This window comes from Homo sapiens, chromosome 1, assembly GCF_000001405.40.
Source record: "Homo sapiens chromosome 1, GRCh38.p14 Primary Assembly".
Classification (NCBI taxonomy): Eukaryota; Metazoa; Chordata; class Mammalia; order Primates; family Hominidae; genus Homo; species Homo sapiens.
The window spans coordinates 50,210,440-50,222,850 of NC_000001.11; the positions used below are offsets into that span (position 1 = coordinate 50,210,440).

Genomic DNA, 12,411 nt, shown 5'->3' on the forward strand with positions numbered 1-12,411 from the left:
TAAGTGCTTAAAACACTACCTGGCAGATAGTAATAACTATATAAATGTTTGCTATTACTATAGCTATCATTCTTAATATTAATCTGACTAATTCTTACACATGCCTCAAAATTCAACATGAATATCCTCTCCCCGGAGCTCATTCCTCAACCTCTCAGACCAAGTTATGAACCATTTCTCTGTGTTCCCAAAGTCCTCTCTTACCCTGTAGAATAGTTTATTGTCTACCTCTATGCCTTCTCCCCTAAACCATAAGCTCATCAATGGCAAGAACTGTGCCCTATTCATCAGTACAAGATTGTTCACAAAAAGAATGCCAGTGAAGGTGTGCAGCTGTGGTAGGCTGAATAATGGCCCCCTAAAAATGTCCACATTCTAATCCCAGGGCATGTGAATATGGTATCTGTCTTAGTCTATTTGTGTTGCAGGACTTTTCCTTAGTTCAGCTAAAGACAGGGTTCTTTGTCCCACAGCCATGAAAATTCAGGTTGGCAGACAATTTCGATGGTGAGTAAGACAGGGTTTTATTGGGTGAAGTGGAAGTAAAGGGGGCACAGGGACTCTCACAAGGCCAGAGTCCCTGCTAGAGCACTTCCCACCTGGCCATTTGAATCCCGGGTCCCACACAGGAAGAGGAGGGGCCAGGCTCTTCCCCGCTGCAAATGTCGGGAACTTCCCCAGGCTCCTCCTCAAATGGGCAGGCTGGATAGAGTTTCTCCACGGACCTCCTCTCACCTGGCTGTCTCATTTGGGCTGCTATAACAAAACAACTTACAATGGATAATTTACAAACAACAGAAATGTAGGGCTCACATTTCTGGAGTCTGGAAAGTCCAAGGTCAAAGCACTAGTAGATTTGATGTTTGGTGAGGATTTGCTGTCTGTCTCATAGTTGTCACCTTCTTACTGTGTCCTCACATGGTAGAAGGGGTGACCAAGCTCCCTCAGGCCTCTCTTATAAAGGCACTAATACCAGTCAGAAGGGTGGACCCCTCATGATCTACTCACCTCCCAAAGTTCCCACCTCTTAATAATACAACATTAGGGATTAGGTTTACATTTACTAATTTTGAAGGAACATACACATTCAGACCATTGCTTTACCTTAAATGGTTAAAGGGACTTTACAAATGTAATTCAGTTAAGGATCTTAAGGGGAGATTATTGTGGATTATCCAGGTGGATATATATATAAATGTTTGCTATTACTATTGCTATCATTCTTATTATTCATCTGGCTAATTCTTACACATACCTCAAAATTCAACATGAATATCCTCCCCCCTGGAGCTCCTTCCTCTACCTCTCAGACCAGGTTAGGTACCATTTCCAGGATTCCCCAGTGTAATCACAAGAATCCTTTTAAAAGGGAGGTGGGAGGATTCAGAGTCAGTAGTAGGAGAAGCAACAATGGAACCAGAAGACTGTAGTAATGCGAAGAAGGACCCATAAGCAAAGGAATGCATTCGGCCTCTAGAAGCTGAAAAAGGTAAGAAAATTGACTTTTTTTCCTGAAACCTCCAGAAGGAACACAGCCCATCTAACACCTTGACTTTAAACCTCTGACCTTCAGAACTATAAGAAAATAAGTTTACATTGTTTAAGCCACTACATTTGTGGTAAGTTTTTATAGGAGTAATAGAAAACTAATACATCAGCCAAGCATAAAGCAGGAGTTAGAAAAAGGATAGTTGTGTGGAGAAGCCAATGTTCAGTCCAGACCCTCCCTGGCTCCTGGCATCGGTGAGAATAGGAACAGAGTTAATGGTGGCCACTGTATCTACCCTCTTAGCACACGCTGACCACTCTGGGCCCTCAGGAAGCAAGCTACCACCACCATATTAACATCATCATTCCTGGATCTCATGGACTTGGTGGATGGTGGAGGGGGAGAAAAATCAGTGGGTCCAAAGATATCAGTGAACTGTCATGCTGGGCTCCAGAAGAGACAATATGGAATGTAAATTAGGTTAATAGAACAGTGGCCTGGGAGATCTAGGTTCCTGACCCAGTTCCTGGGTTCAGTTTTGCATATGATTCTGAACAAATTATATACTCCATACTTGCTCCTTCTCTTATGTTCCACATCTCAATTAATTGTGGGAAACCCAGGAGTATTCCTAAACTCCCTCCCCTCCCCTCAACCATCTAATCAATTACCAAACCCTAACAATTTTAATTCTCCTGAAAATTTCTCAAATTCATCCCCTCCTCCCCTCTTTATTGCCACTATCCTGATTTAAGTCTTATCACCTCATTCACAGGCTATTAACTGAATCCCTTCTATGTACAAGGATTCAGACACTATCCTTATACGAGACCTTTCCTCCTCACCTTCTGCAACTCCACCCACCCCCTCCGTCAGGACAATCTATCTAAAACACTCATCTGGCCAAATCATTGGCCCACCTAAATCCCATCAGTGAATTCCTGTTACCCAGGTGATACAGTCCAGACTCCTGAGCATGACTTACAAGACCCTGTATCATCTAGGCTCTGGCGGCTTAACCAGCCTCATCCCCTTCCTCTTCCTGCCTCACAGTTTGTGGTCCAGCTCTGCAAAATTACTACCTGTTCCCCGAATACAACACAGTGCTTGTCACAGGCCTACTCCTATTAACTCTCTTCTTCCTTACTAACAGAATCCTGATTTTTTTAGGGCAACAAAATGTCTAGCTACAAAACATCTTTCACATCACACAGCTCTGGCCAATGAGAAGTAAGAAGTCCCTTGTGAGTCTTCTAGGAAAGCTCCCTAAATGGGAGCAAACTCAACTGGCACACTGTTTTCCCTTTGCCATTGCCTTCTTTTCCCTCTCCATTCTTCCCATTTGGAATGCTGGTGTGATATCTAAAGCTGCATGTGCCATATTGCAACTATGAAGGAACAGACAAAAACCATGAATGGCAGACTAGAAACACCTGGAAAGCCTATGCCCTCAATGGTGTCCCTAGGCTGCAATAGCCCCTGGATTATCTCCTCTGAACATCTTATTATTTGAGAAAAATACACTCCTTACTGAAGAGCTTCCCAACAAATGAACACATTCTTTATTAATGTGCTTAATTTATTTCTTCAACCCTCTGATCAGACAGGTGGGGCCCTGTGCTGTTAGAGTCCCCAAGCCATTCATCTCTGGCCCCAAACAGCCCATCCCTCTACCCTGCTGGGCCATACAAACATTTTCGTGTGTGTACTGCTGTGTAACAAAATGTTACACAACTCTCTCTCTCTGGTTCAAAGTCTGATTATTGCTCTATCCCACTTGACCATTGCCTATGCACTGAGATTTCCAACGTTCCTCCACGTGTCTCCACTGCCAGAAGCTCCATAACCACCTGCCTCCAGATTTTCATCAAATTATTGCTGCCTGCATTAGTCTGCCATGCATCTAAGACTCCTCTTGGGCCACCCATCCAGTAGCACTGATCTATCTTTGACCCCCAGTGCTCCTTGGAGCCTCAGTTCCTGCCATCATACTGACTACAATATCTCAACATCTTTGCCCACCTCCACATCTCTAGAGCTCCTGTCTCTCTCCCCAACTCTCCAACCCGCCCTCTTGCTCTCTCACTCTTGCTTGTCATCAAAGATCCACCTTTCCTTTCTTTTATCCCATTTTGATAAGGAAGGAACAGTTCTACCACAGAGTTGCTTGGATCCCTAATGACTCAGTAAAATATATATTTGCTGGCAGGGCCCGGTCAGAGAAGGCTAAAAAGAGCTTTACACTATGCCTACAAATAGTGCTCTTTAGCCCTGAACCCATTTGCTACTGTGGTCCTCAGTGCTAGACTTTCTCCTCACCTAATTTTTTTTTCCCAGGAGTCCCCATTATCCTTATTATAATCTGGATTCCCATGCAATGCCCCTGTCCCCATGACCTCAATACCCATCAAATAGGCTTATATATGCCTCATCCTCCAATATGAACCATCCACGTTCTTACTCACGGGGTCTATGCCAACCCAGGGATGTAGCTAGACATGAGAGGGCATGAAATGTACATAGAGTCCTGAGCTTCCTGCTACTGAATGAATAATTAAATTCTCCAAGTCTCAGTTTCCCCAACAGTAAATGTAATAGCAGGACTACCTGGTCTCAGTTTCATCAGCCTGACACCAGGAGGAACCCCAGGGACAAGCTTGAGGCCCCAGAGTACTTTAGAACCAGTATAGAAGCCAGGATAGAAGGAGAAATGAGGGGGAGAGGAAGTTTTCAATCAGGTGCTGGGCTTTCACTGCCAAAAAATTTCCCACAAACAAACCCACCCCAGCAAAGGAAGCTACTGTTGGCTGGCATGCTGCAGAAAAGAAGGCGGGCATGAGGCCTCATTAATCCGGCGGCTGTGGGATCAGTTGCAGATACCCCCCAGCCCACCCACTTTTTGCCATCTGCTGCTGCTGCCGCTGAGCCAAACGTATGCAGCTCTGGTGGGAGCCCAGCCGGAAGCCAGAAGAGGGGCCCAGACCCTTGTGTATGGGGCAATCCCAGCAGCAGGGACCTTTGAGCCCAGGCTCCTGACGCAGCTGTGTCTCCCAACCCCACCCCCATCCCCCATGCAATGCTGCAACACTCCACAAGTTGGAAGCCGCTGAGGGAGAAGTCCCAGGGCCCTGAACAAATATTAGACAAATAACTGACTAAACTGCATTGATTGAGAATTCACTGTGTGCCAGACACATACCTTATATCCCATAAATACTATCCCAAACCACACAAAGATTTCAAAACTACATCTGTCATAATTCTTGATGATTTCAATATGCACAAAGACAATCTTTCCAACACCTCGGCTCCTCAACCTACACTCCTCCTTCCACCGCAGTTACTCCCTTCCTGCTCCTCCCGTAGGGCTTAATAGCTTAATTTCAATGGCAAGCATCCTCTTGTCAATACCTACTTCCTATCTCACTCCCTTTACTATCCTGACTCAAAATAACCCTTCAACCCTCCTGGGACCTTCAACTCACTTTTACTGTCCCTCACCACCACCATGTCCTCACTTCCCTTTCTACCCTGTTTAAATTCCATATAAAACATATCATCCTTCCCTTGTGTACACTTTCATTTTCCTCACCCCTCCCTCAGTTCATTGTATTCTTTTGTTTCAACCAAAGCTCTCCATCTACTGTGTACCTGCACCCTCACGGCTGAACATGCACTGCAAGAGAAAAACACATATTCATGCTGACCAGACTCCCTTTACGTTAGTGACCAGCAGCCTTGCGTGGGCCCTAAAACTGCCTGAAGCTCACACTGTATTTCTCTAGTTCAATCACTCTCCCTCTCCCCTAGATGGTATTTTCCTACTTTCTCCTCTTTCTTCGAACCTCTAACACCTCCCTCATCTCCCTCATCTTCATTCTCAACTGAAGACCCAGCTTCCTATTTCACTGGAAATTGAAGTAATGAGAAGAGAACTCCCACTAGCCCCCTGCTCCCCCTTCTCTCCTGTTACCATGGATGAGCTGTCCATTGCTCTTCTACCTGTGTGTTAAATCCCACCCCTCACCAACTCAAGAACATAGATCCAGCAGTTCTCCTCTCTTATCCTGCATCGTTAGATTATTCCCTCTCTACTGAGTCATTCCCATAAGCATACAAACATACTTTTACTTCTCCCATCTTAAAAAAAAAACTCGCTCTTTACCGTAACTCCTATTATTACCCCATTTCTCATTTTCCCTCAGCAAGAAAACTTCTTAAAGTATAGTGATATTCACTGCCCAATTTCTCTTTTCCCATTCTCCCTTGAACTTTAGTAAGATCTGCTTCCCCACTACTCTTCCCAAACTGCTCTTGTCAAAGTCACCAGTGATCTCCCCATTGCCAAATCCAAATGGCAAGTCTCAGTCCTCGTGGTACTCAATCTTGCAACTGTATTTGTCTCAGCCAATCACCTTCTCCTCCTTGAAAAGTCTTCTTTACTTGCCTTCCGGGACTCCCCATTTGGCATATTTTCTTCCTACCTTTCTGGCCATCCCACAGTCACCTCCTCTGTTTGACCTCTAACTGTTGGAGACTGAGTTCTAGGAATTCTTCTCTAACTACAGTCACTCCCCATGGTCACTCATCTAATGTCGTGGCTTTCAATACAATTAATGTTCTAATGACTTCTAAATATATTTCTAGCACAGACCTATCTCCTGAACTCTGGAGACATATGTTCTACTGTCTAGTATACATTTCCACCTGGCTACCTAAAGGACATCTCAAACTTGCCCCCCACCCCCACAAAAAAAACCCACCCAATTTCTTTTTGCCCTTTCCAGCCAACCTGCTCTCTCCATCTCAACAAATGGAAGCATTATCTTCTCAGTCACTCAGGCCAAATCTCTTAGAGTCACACTTACTTCCATTTTTTCCTACTATTCTCTAAAAAGTCTCCCCATTGTGTACAGATTTGTATCTATTTTGCTTACTATTATAACTTCAGCTCCTAAAAGAGTGCCTAGCCCTTAGTAGGTACTCAATAAATATTTGCCAAATAAAGGTATAACTAAATTAATCAGCTGTTCATTGAATAAATAAAATAATTATTACAGATTGTGATAAGGGATAAGAAAAATGTGCTATGGAATAAGATAACTGAGAGGTTCTACTTAGAAAACAACAGAGGGGTTCTCTTTTCCCTGAGGAAATGACTTTGAAATGAGACGGAATGAGACATTGTGGAAAGAGCCAGGAAAAGAACATTGATGTAAAGGCCCAGAGGTAGGTATGAGCTTAATGGGTTCTAGGAAACAACAGATGGCCAGCGTGGCAAAAGAACCGAGAGAGAAGGGAGAAAGGTACTGGGAGACATCGGGGAGCTGGAGAAGTAAGCAGGAGCGAAGTCATGAAGAGTCTTGAATGCCAAGTGTGGTCATTTTTGCATTCAGCACAGAGATGAGGCCCAGAAAGCCTCAGGAGAGGGAGAGGGTGGGGTGAAATTTAAAGGCCAAGGGAGGGCCACCAGAGACTCCTCCAGATTCCAAGGTCTGCACCTCCTGCTATATAGAAAGCCAAGGACTAGAGTGGCTCACTCTCTTGGTCCACCCCAGGGTTTTATTGTGGGTTTGACAAAACTAACCAACTAAAACTCCAACTAAAAGCGGAGTGGATTGGTTATTCAAACTTAGCTATAAATCTAGTAACTGCTTGTATTTACCTCATGTCACATAGTTTAACTGTCTCTATGGGTGCCCCAGAGGACAGACACTATCTGTGGTTGAAATATGTCTCTCTCTGCAAACCATAATTCTAGGCCCTCCTAAGCTCAGGCCTTGCAAGAATCTCTACTGCCCAACAAGTCCCTACAAGATGGCATTTAAAAGCAGTCCCTCACGCACTGCAAACCTTGAGTGATAATATGGAACTTATAGCAATGGGCATTCTATCCCCATCCTCTGACTTTAGGACAGGGACTAGAATCTAGCACAGAGCACTCAGTGGGTACTTAAAAATGTCTGTTCAATTGAATAATAGGAAGGAATAAATTCAACATCAGTGAGAGCTGCATGGGTAACAATGAGTGAATGAATGAAACCCTTTAGCCTCTCTCACTTGCCTGTCTTCTTATAGAAGGTTCAAACCTCTTCCATCTTAAAAACAAACAAAAGACCACCTTGCTGGATCTCCAGCTCTTCCTTCTAGACTTCTCCTGGAAAACTTCTCTCTCAAATTCCTTTATAGACAGTTTCTTGGGTGTCTATACTTACCTTTTGTGGGAAATTTTACCCAATCCCATGACTATAAGTACAGTTTGTATTCTGATGCACAAATCTGTATCTTCAGCCTCAACCTTTGAACCTATGTTTCTGGTATCCATTAGACCTCTTCAACTGGATGTCAACAGGTACTTTTGGACATGTCAACTTGACATGTCCAAAACAGAACTTAGTATCTTCCCCCTGAAATCTGCCTCCTGAGGTGTTCTCATGTCAGGGACTGTCACCTTCAATTATCCCCATTTTATCTGGGTTTTGCCCTTGACTCCCCATTCTCCCTTATCATACACATCCCACCAAATAGTAAGAATTTCTAGATTCTAAATCTTGTCTCTGAAATGTCAGTTGTCCTTGGATTCTTTCTGTAGGGGGCGTTGTCACCAAGGGTGGCCCCAAACTGTGTGAAGGATAGAGAGATCAGCCAGAAGCTCCTGGGAGCCTGAAGGGAAGGAGAGTCCAGTGGCCCAGCAGCGCTTGGTCCTTACTGTGAGCCTTCTCAGAAATTCTCTCTACAGCAGTGACTCATGGTGGTGAGACATGTCCCAAAGAGTTAAATAAACCAAAGACTAACAGAAATTCTTAGTTTTCAGGATGGCAGATAAGAAAAGAAACAACCTGTCAAAAAATACTGAAACTCCCTCCTCTTATGAGATGAAAGAACAGACTGAAATCAGTTGGAAACAAGATGCCCAACTGGAGCTTGCGCAGAGCGACCTTGCTGACATCACAGCCACCACATTTCATACCAACTCCTCCCGAATTTGCACATGCAACCCATGAGTTAGCATGAAGACATAATTGTGCATGCCCAAGGAATTTCCCGACCTCCCTTTTCCTTCCACCGATCACCTACTTGCTAATCTCAGAATCCACCCCCTTGAGCCTTTTCTAGTAAAAATACTGCCTTAAAGCCAGCACAGGGAGACAGGTTTGGGCTTGACTCCTATCTCCTTGGGAGTCAACTCTCAATACAAAGCTTTTCTTTTCTCAAAAAAAGTCGATGTCATAGTATTGGCTTCCAACACATCGGGCAGCAAGCCCCTTTTGTTTTATAACAGTGGCACCTCTACCATCCCTCTTCACCTCCACCAGTGTAAGTTCTGGTCAGAAACCCATGGAGATGATGTCTTGGGAAAAGCATGAGGGAGTTCACAAATACTTTGGAGGAGGCAAAGGTAAATATGAGCAGCCCAGAAAAAAGAAAATCAAGATGAACAGAGAGAAAAGGACTAGGGATGAAGTGGCTCCCTGAGGATGACCCCAAGTGTGCAAGTGCTAAGATGGAAGTCCCATAGCATCTCCCGGCTAGGGTTTGTTATCCTGCAGATGAGATGGAGGTGGAGCACCAAAGTGAATGAGTGACTTCACAGTAACACCTTCTCTCTTTCTTCATCTCCCACATCTAATTCATCAACCCATCAGCAAACTACCTTTAAAACTAACCCCAAATCTGACCACTTCTCACTGCCTGTCCCACCACTACTGTTGTTTTATACATATATATATAGTTTTATACATATATAGGTGTATATATATAGATGTATATATATAGATGTATATATAGATGTATATATATAGATGTGTGTGTATATATATATGTGTGTGTATATATATATATATATATATATATATATATATATATATATACACAGAGAGAAAGAGAGGCAGAGAGAGAGAGTCTGTTTGCCACAGTAGAAACTAAGCTGCATTGGAATGGGACCTTGATCTTGTTCACTGCTTTATTCCCATTAGCCAGTGGGGTAAAATGGCTGCTGCATAGTTGAGGATCAATAAAATTTTTACTAAATAAATGAATATAAATGGGTAGATTGATGGATGGTTGACTGAATGAACCAGAGAGACTGTATCTTCAGCCTCAACCTTTGAACCTATGTTTCTGGTATCCATTAGACCTCTTCAACTGGATGTCAACAGGTACTTTTGGACATGTCAACTTGACATGTCCAAAACAGAACTTAGTATCTTCCCCCTGAAATCTGACTGAGTGTATATCAGTCAGAATTAGCTAGGTCATGCTACAATAACAAATAACTCCAGAGTCTTGATGACTTAAAACAACAAAGGTGCATTTCTCATGAGATATCCATTGTGGATCACCAGGGAGGCCTTGCTCATTGCAGTCACTCAGGCACCCAGGATTATGGAGGCTTTATCTTGACTGACAGTGGCTTTCACCACAGCAGGGGAAAGAGAACAATCTTGCACTGGTTCTTAAAGCTACCTTCTGCAGGTATTACTTCCAGTCATGTAACTAGCTAAAGTAAGTCATATGGGCATGCCTAAATACAAGGGAGCAGAAACGTGCCTGAAAGGGGAAGATAAGTGAGATCCCTGTGGACAACCTTATGATTACCACAGAGTGAGTGGGTCATATCCATGGAGAGGCATGTGTGCGATATGCAACTAGTGTCAATGATAGTGGAATGAATCTGCATGCAACTCCAGGGGAAATCAGTAAATGCTTACAAGAGTATGCTAGTCAGTTGTTCATATTCTCTCCCCCTCTTGCCTAACCCTTGCGTGGAATCTGTTCTCATTATCCAAGGCCTTTCCCTATGTCAATGCCATTTTCAGAGTACTCTCTCTACTGAGGATAGACAGTCTGGGGCTCCACTGCACCTCAACACCACTGTCTTTTGACAGAAACCCTAAAACACTGGGCCTTGCTTTCATTAAAATAAAGCCCTTAGACTCCTGGAACTTGGTGATTTGACCACCTGCAAAGCAGACCAACAATTCTATTTCTTTCAATTTCCCCATTCCTTATGTTAGCCAGTTTCCACTTTCCATTTGCTCTTTCTTCTTTTCTAAGGACTCCTGATATACTGTATTCCTGGCCTTCTCCTATCCCCATCCCACATACGTACTCCAGCTCTGCTCTAAAAAAAGACACATGCATTATGGAAAGAACATGGGGTTGGGGTCAGACCTAAGCTCAAATCCTGACTGTACCACTTACTGACCATATGACAGTTGGTTTTCTTGTCTTGTAAAATAGGGGCAAAAATGACAACCCACATGGATTACTGTGAGAGTTAAATGAGAAAATATATGTAAATCACACATAGTAAATTAAGACAGCTGTTTTTGCTGTGGTGATCTTATGGCCATGTGTCATATCTTCCCTACTAGACTAAAAAGTCCATGATGGCAAAGACCTAGATTCTTGCCAACACTGACTCCCCGGCCTCAGCAACTAGCACAGTGTCTGAAACCTCATAGGTGCTTAATAAATATTTGTCAATGAATATAAAGAGTTTTGTTAATATCAACTAAAGAAGATCCTGAGACAAGGCAGATAGCACAGACACACCAAACCAAAGCTGGATCTATCCTCTCTGAAACTGGCATCCAGTTGTCATCATTTTTATATATATCAAGAATTGCACACGTTATTAAAATCTCAAAAAGTGACTTCCCTCCCAAATGGCCTTCTGCTGCAATGAAATGACAAAGATCTGACATCTTTATCACACAATTACTAAAACATCCTTTTGAGTTGTCATTTTAAAATATTTGCCCAATTTAGCTGGAGTTTGAGTTTAATTATAGGAAGAAATGTGGGCTTGAGTTAGGTTACACTGGATTCGGGGAAGGGAAGAGCAGATAACTGGATCCCTCCCACTCACCGAAAGACTTCAGCTGGCCAAGACAACTCCCAAATAGGACTAGACATGTCAAATAAAGCAAGAAACACAAAAGAAACTTGGAAACCTTGAAAAGAAAGACAAGGTCATGGAATAGGAGTTTAAGCAGGCCTCGCTGAAGCTTAAAATCCTTCACTAAAAAAAAAAAAAAAAAAATCCTTCACTGTCCCTCCAGGGCCTCAGAACATAGGGCAAGATGCCTAGCCTGGAGTTCAAGCTTCCTGGGATCTTGCCACCCCTCCAATCTCTGCAACCCTTTCTCCTCCCTCTCCCAACTTCCCCCCATCACTATGAATCCCACTGGCCTATGGGCCTTGGAGTCTCTTCCAGCTTCTTTCTTGACTGGGCCCACTTTTATTTCTTCTTCACAGTGGCCTAGACTGGGCAGTTCTAGTCCATCTGCCAACAAATACTTATTTGGGACTTCTTATGCACCCAGCATGGTTCTAGATGCTGGGGACAAAGCAGTTAACACAATAAAATAAAATTCCCTGGCCTTAAAAAGGAAACAGACAATAAGAATAACCACATTAAAAAAAAAACTATAGCCTTTTAGATGTTGACAATTTCTTACTAACTTAGATATTTTTTCTTTTTCTTTTAGGACTGGTAAGTGAAGGTAACAAAACAAAATTCGTGCTTGATTCAAGGTACAGTTTTTGAAACATCTTTCTTTGATCTTCTAAAAACTCAGGGCAACACCCAGAACCTTCCCTTACTATTGTATTGACACCCATTAACTGGTATTTCTTGCACATTATATTGTCCTTCTGACTTGATAGGGAGCTACTTGGAGGCAGGGATGGAGTTTGATTCTCATGAAGCCACTGGAGACTATCTGCTGAAAGAATGAGGGGGAGATTGTGCCAACTCTGAGCTGTCTGTCTAAAAAGGTCTTCTAGGGATAAAATCCCTAACAGCTGAGATGCCTGATGACTTTATAGCGTCTTGGAGAGAAGCATGGCTATTTCTCAACCCAACTCCATGGAAATAATTATTGCAAAACTCACCATCTAGTGAGAATCTTCTA

General features: G+C 43.2%; 1 long non-coding RNA gene across 1 annotated transcript in view; it reads right to left on the bottom strand.

The window, feature by feature from the left end:
* Window positions 1–12,411, bottom strand: part of LOC105378711 (uncharacterized) — a 52,673-nt gene that overhangs the window by 4,356 nt on the left and 35,906 nt on the right. The window lies entirely within an intron of this gene.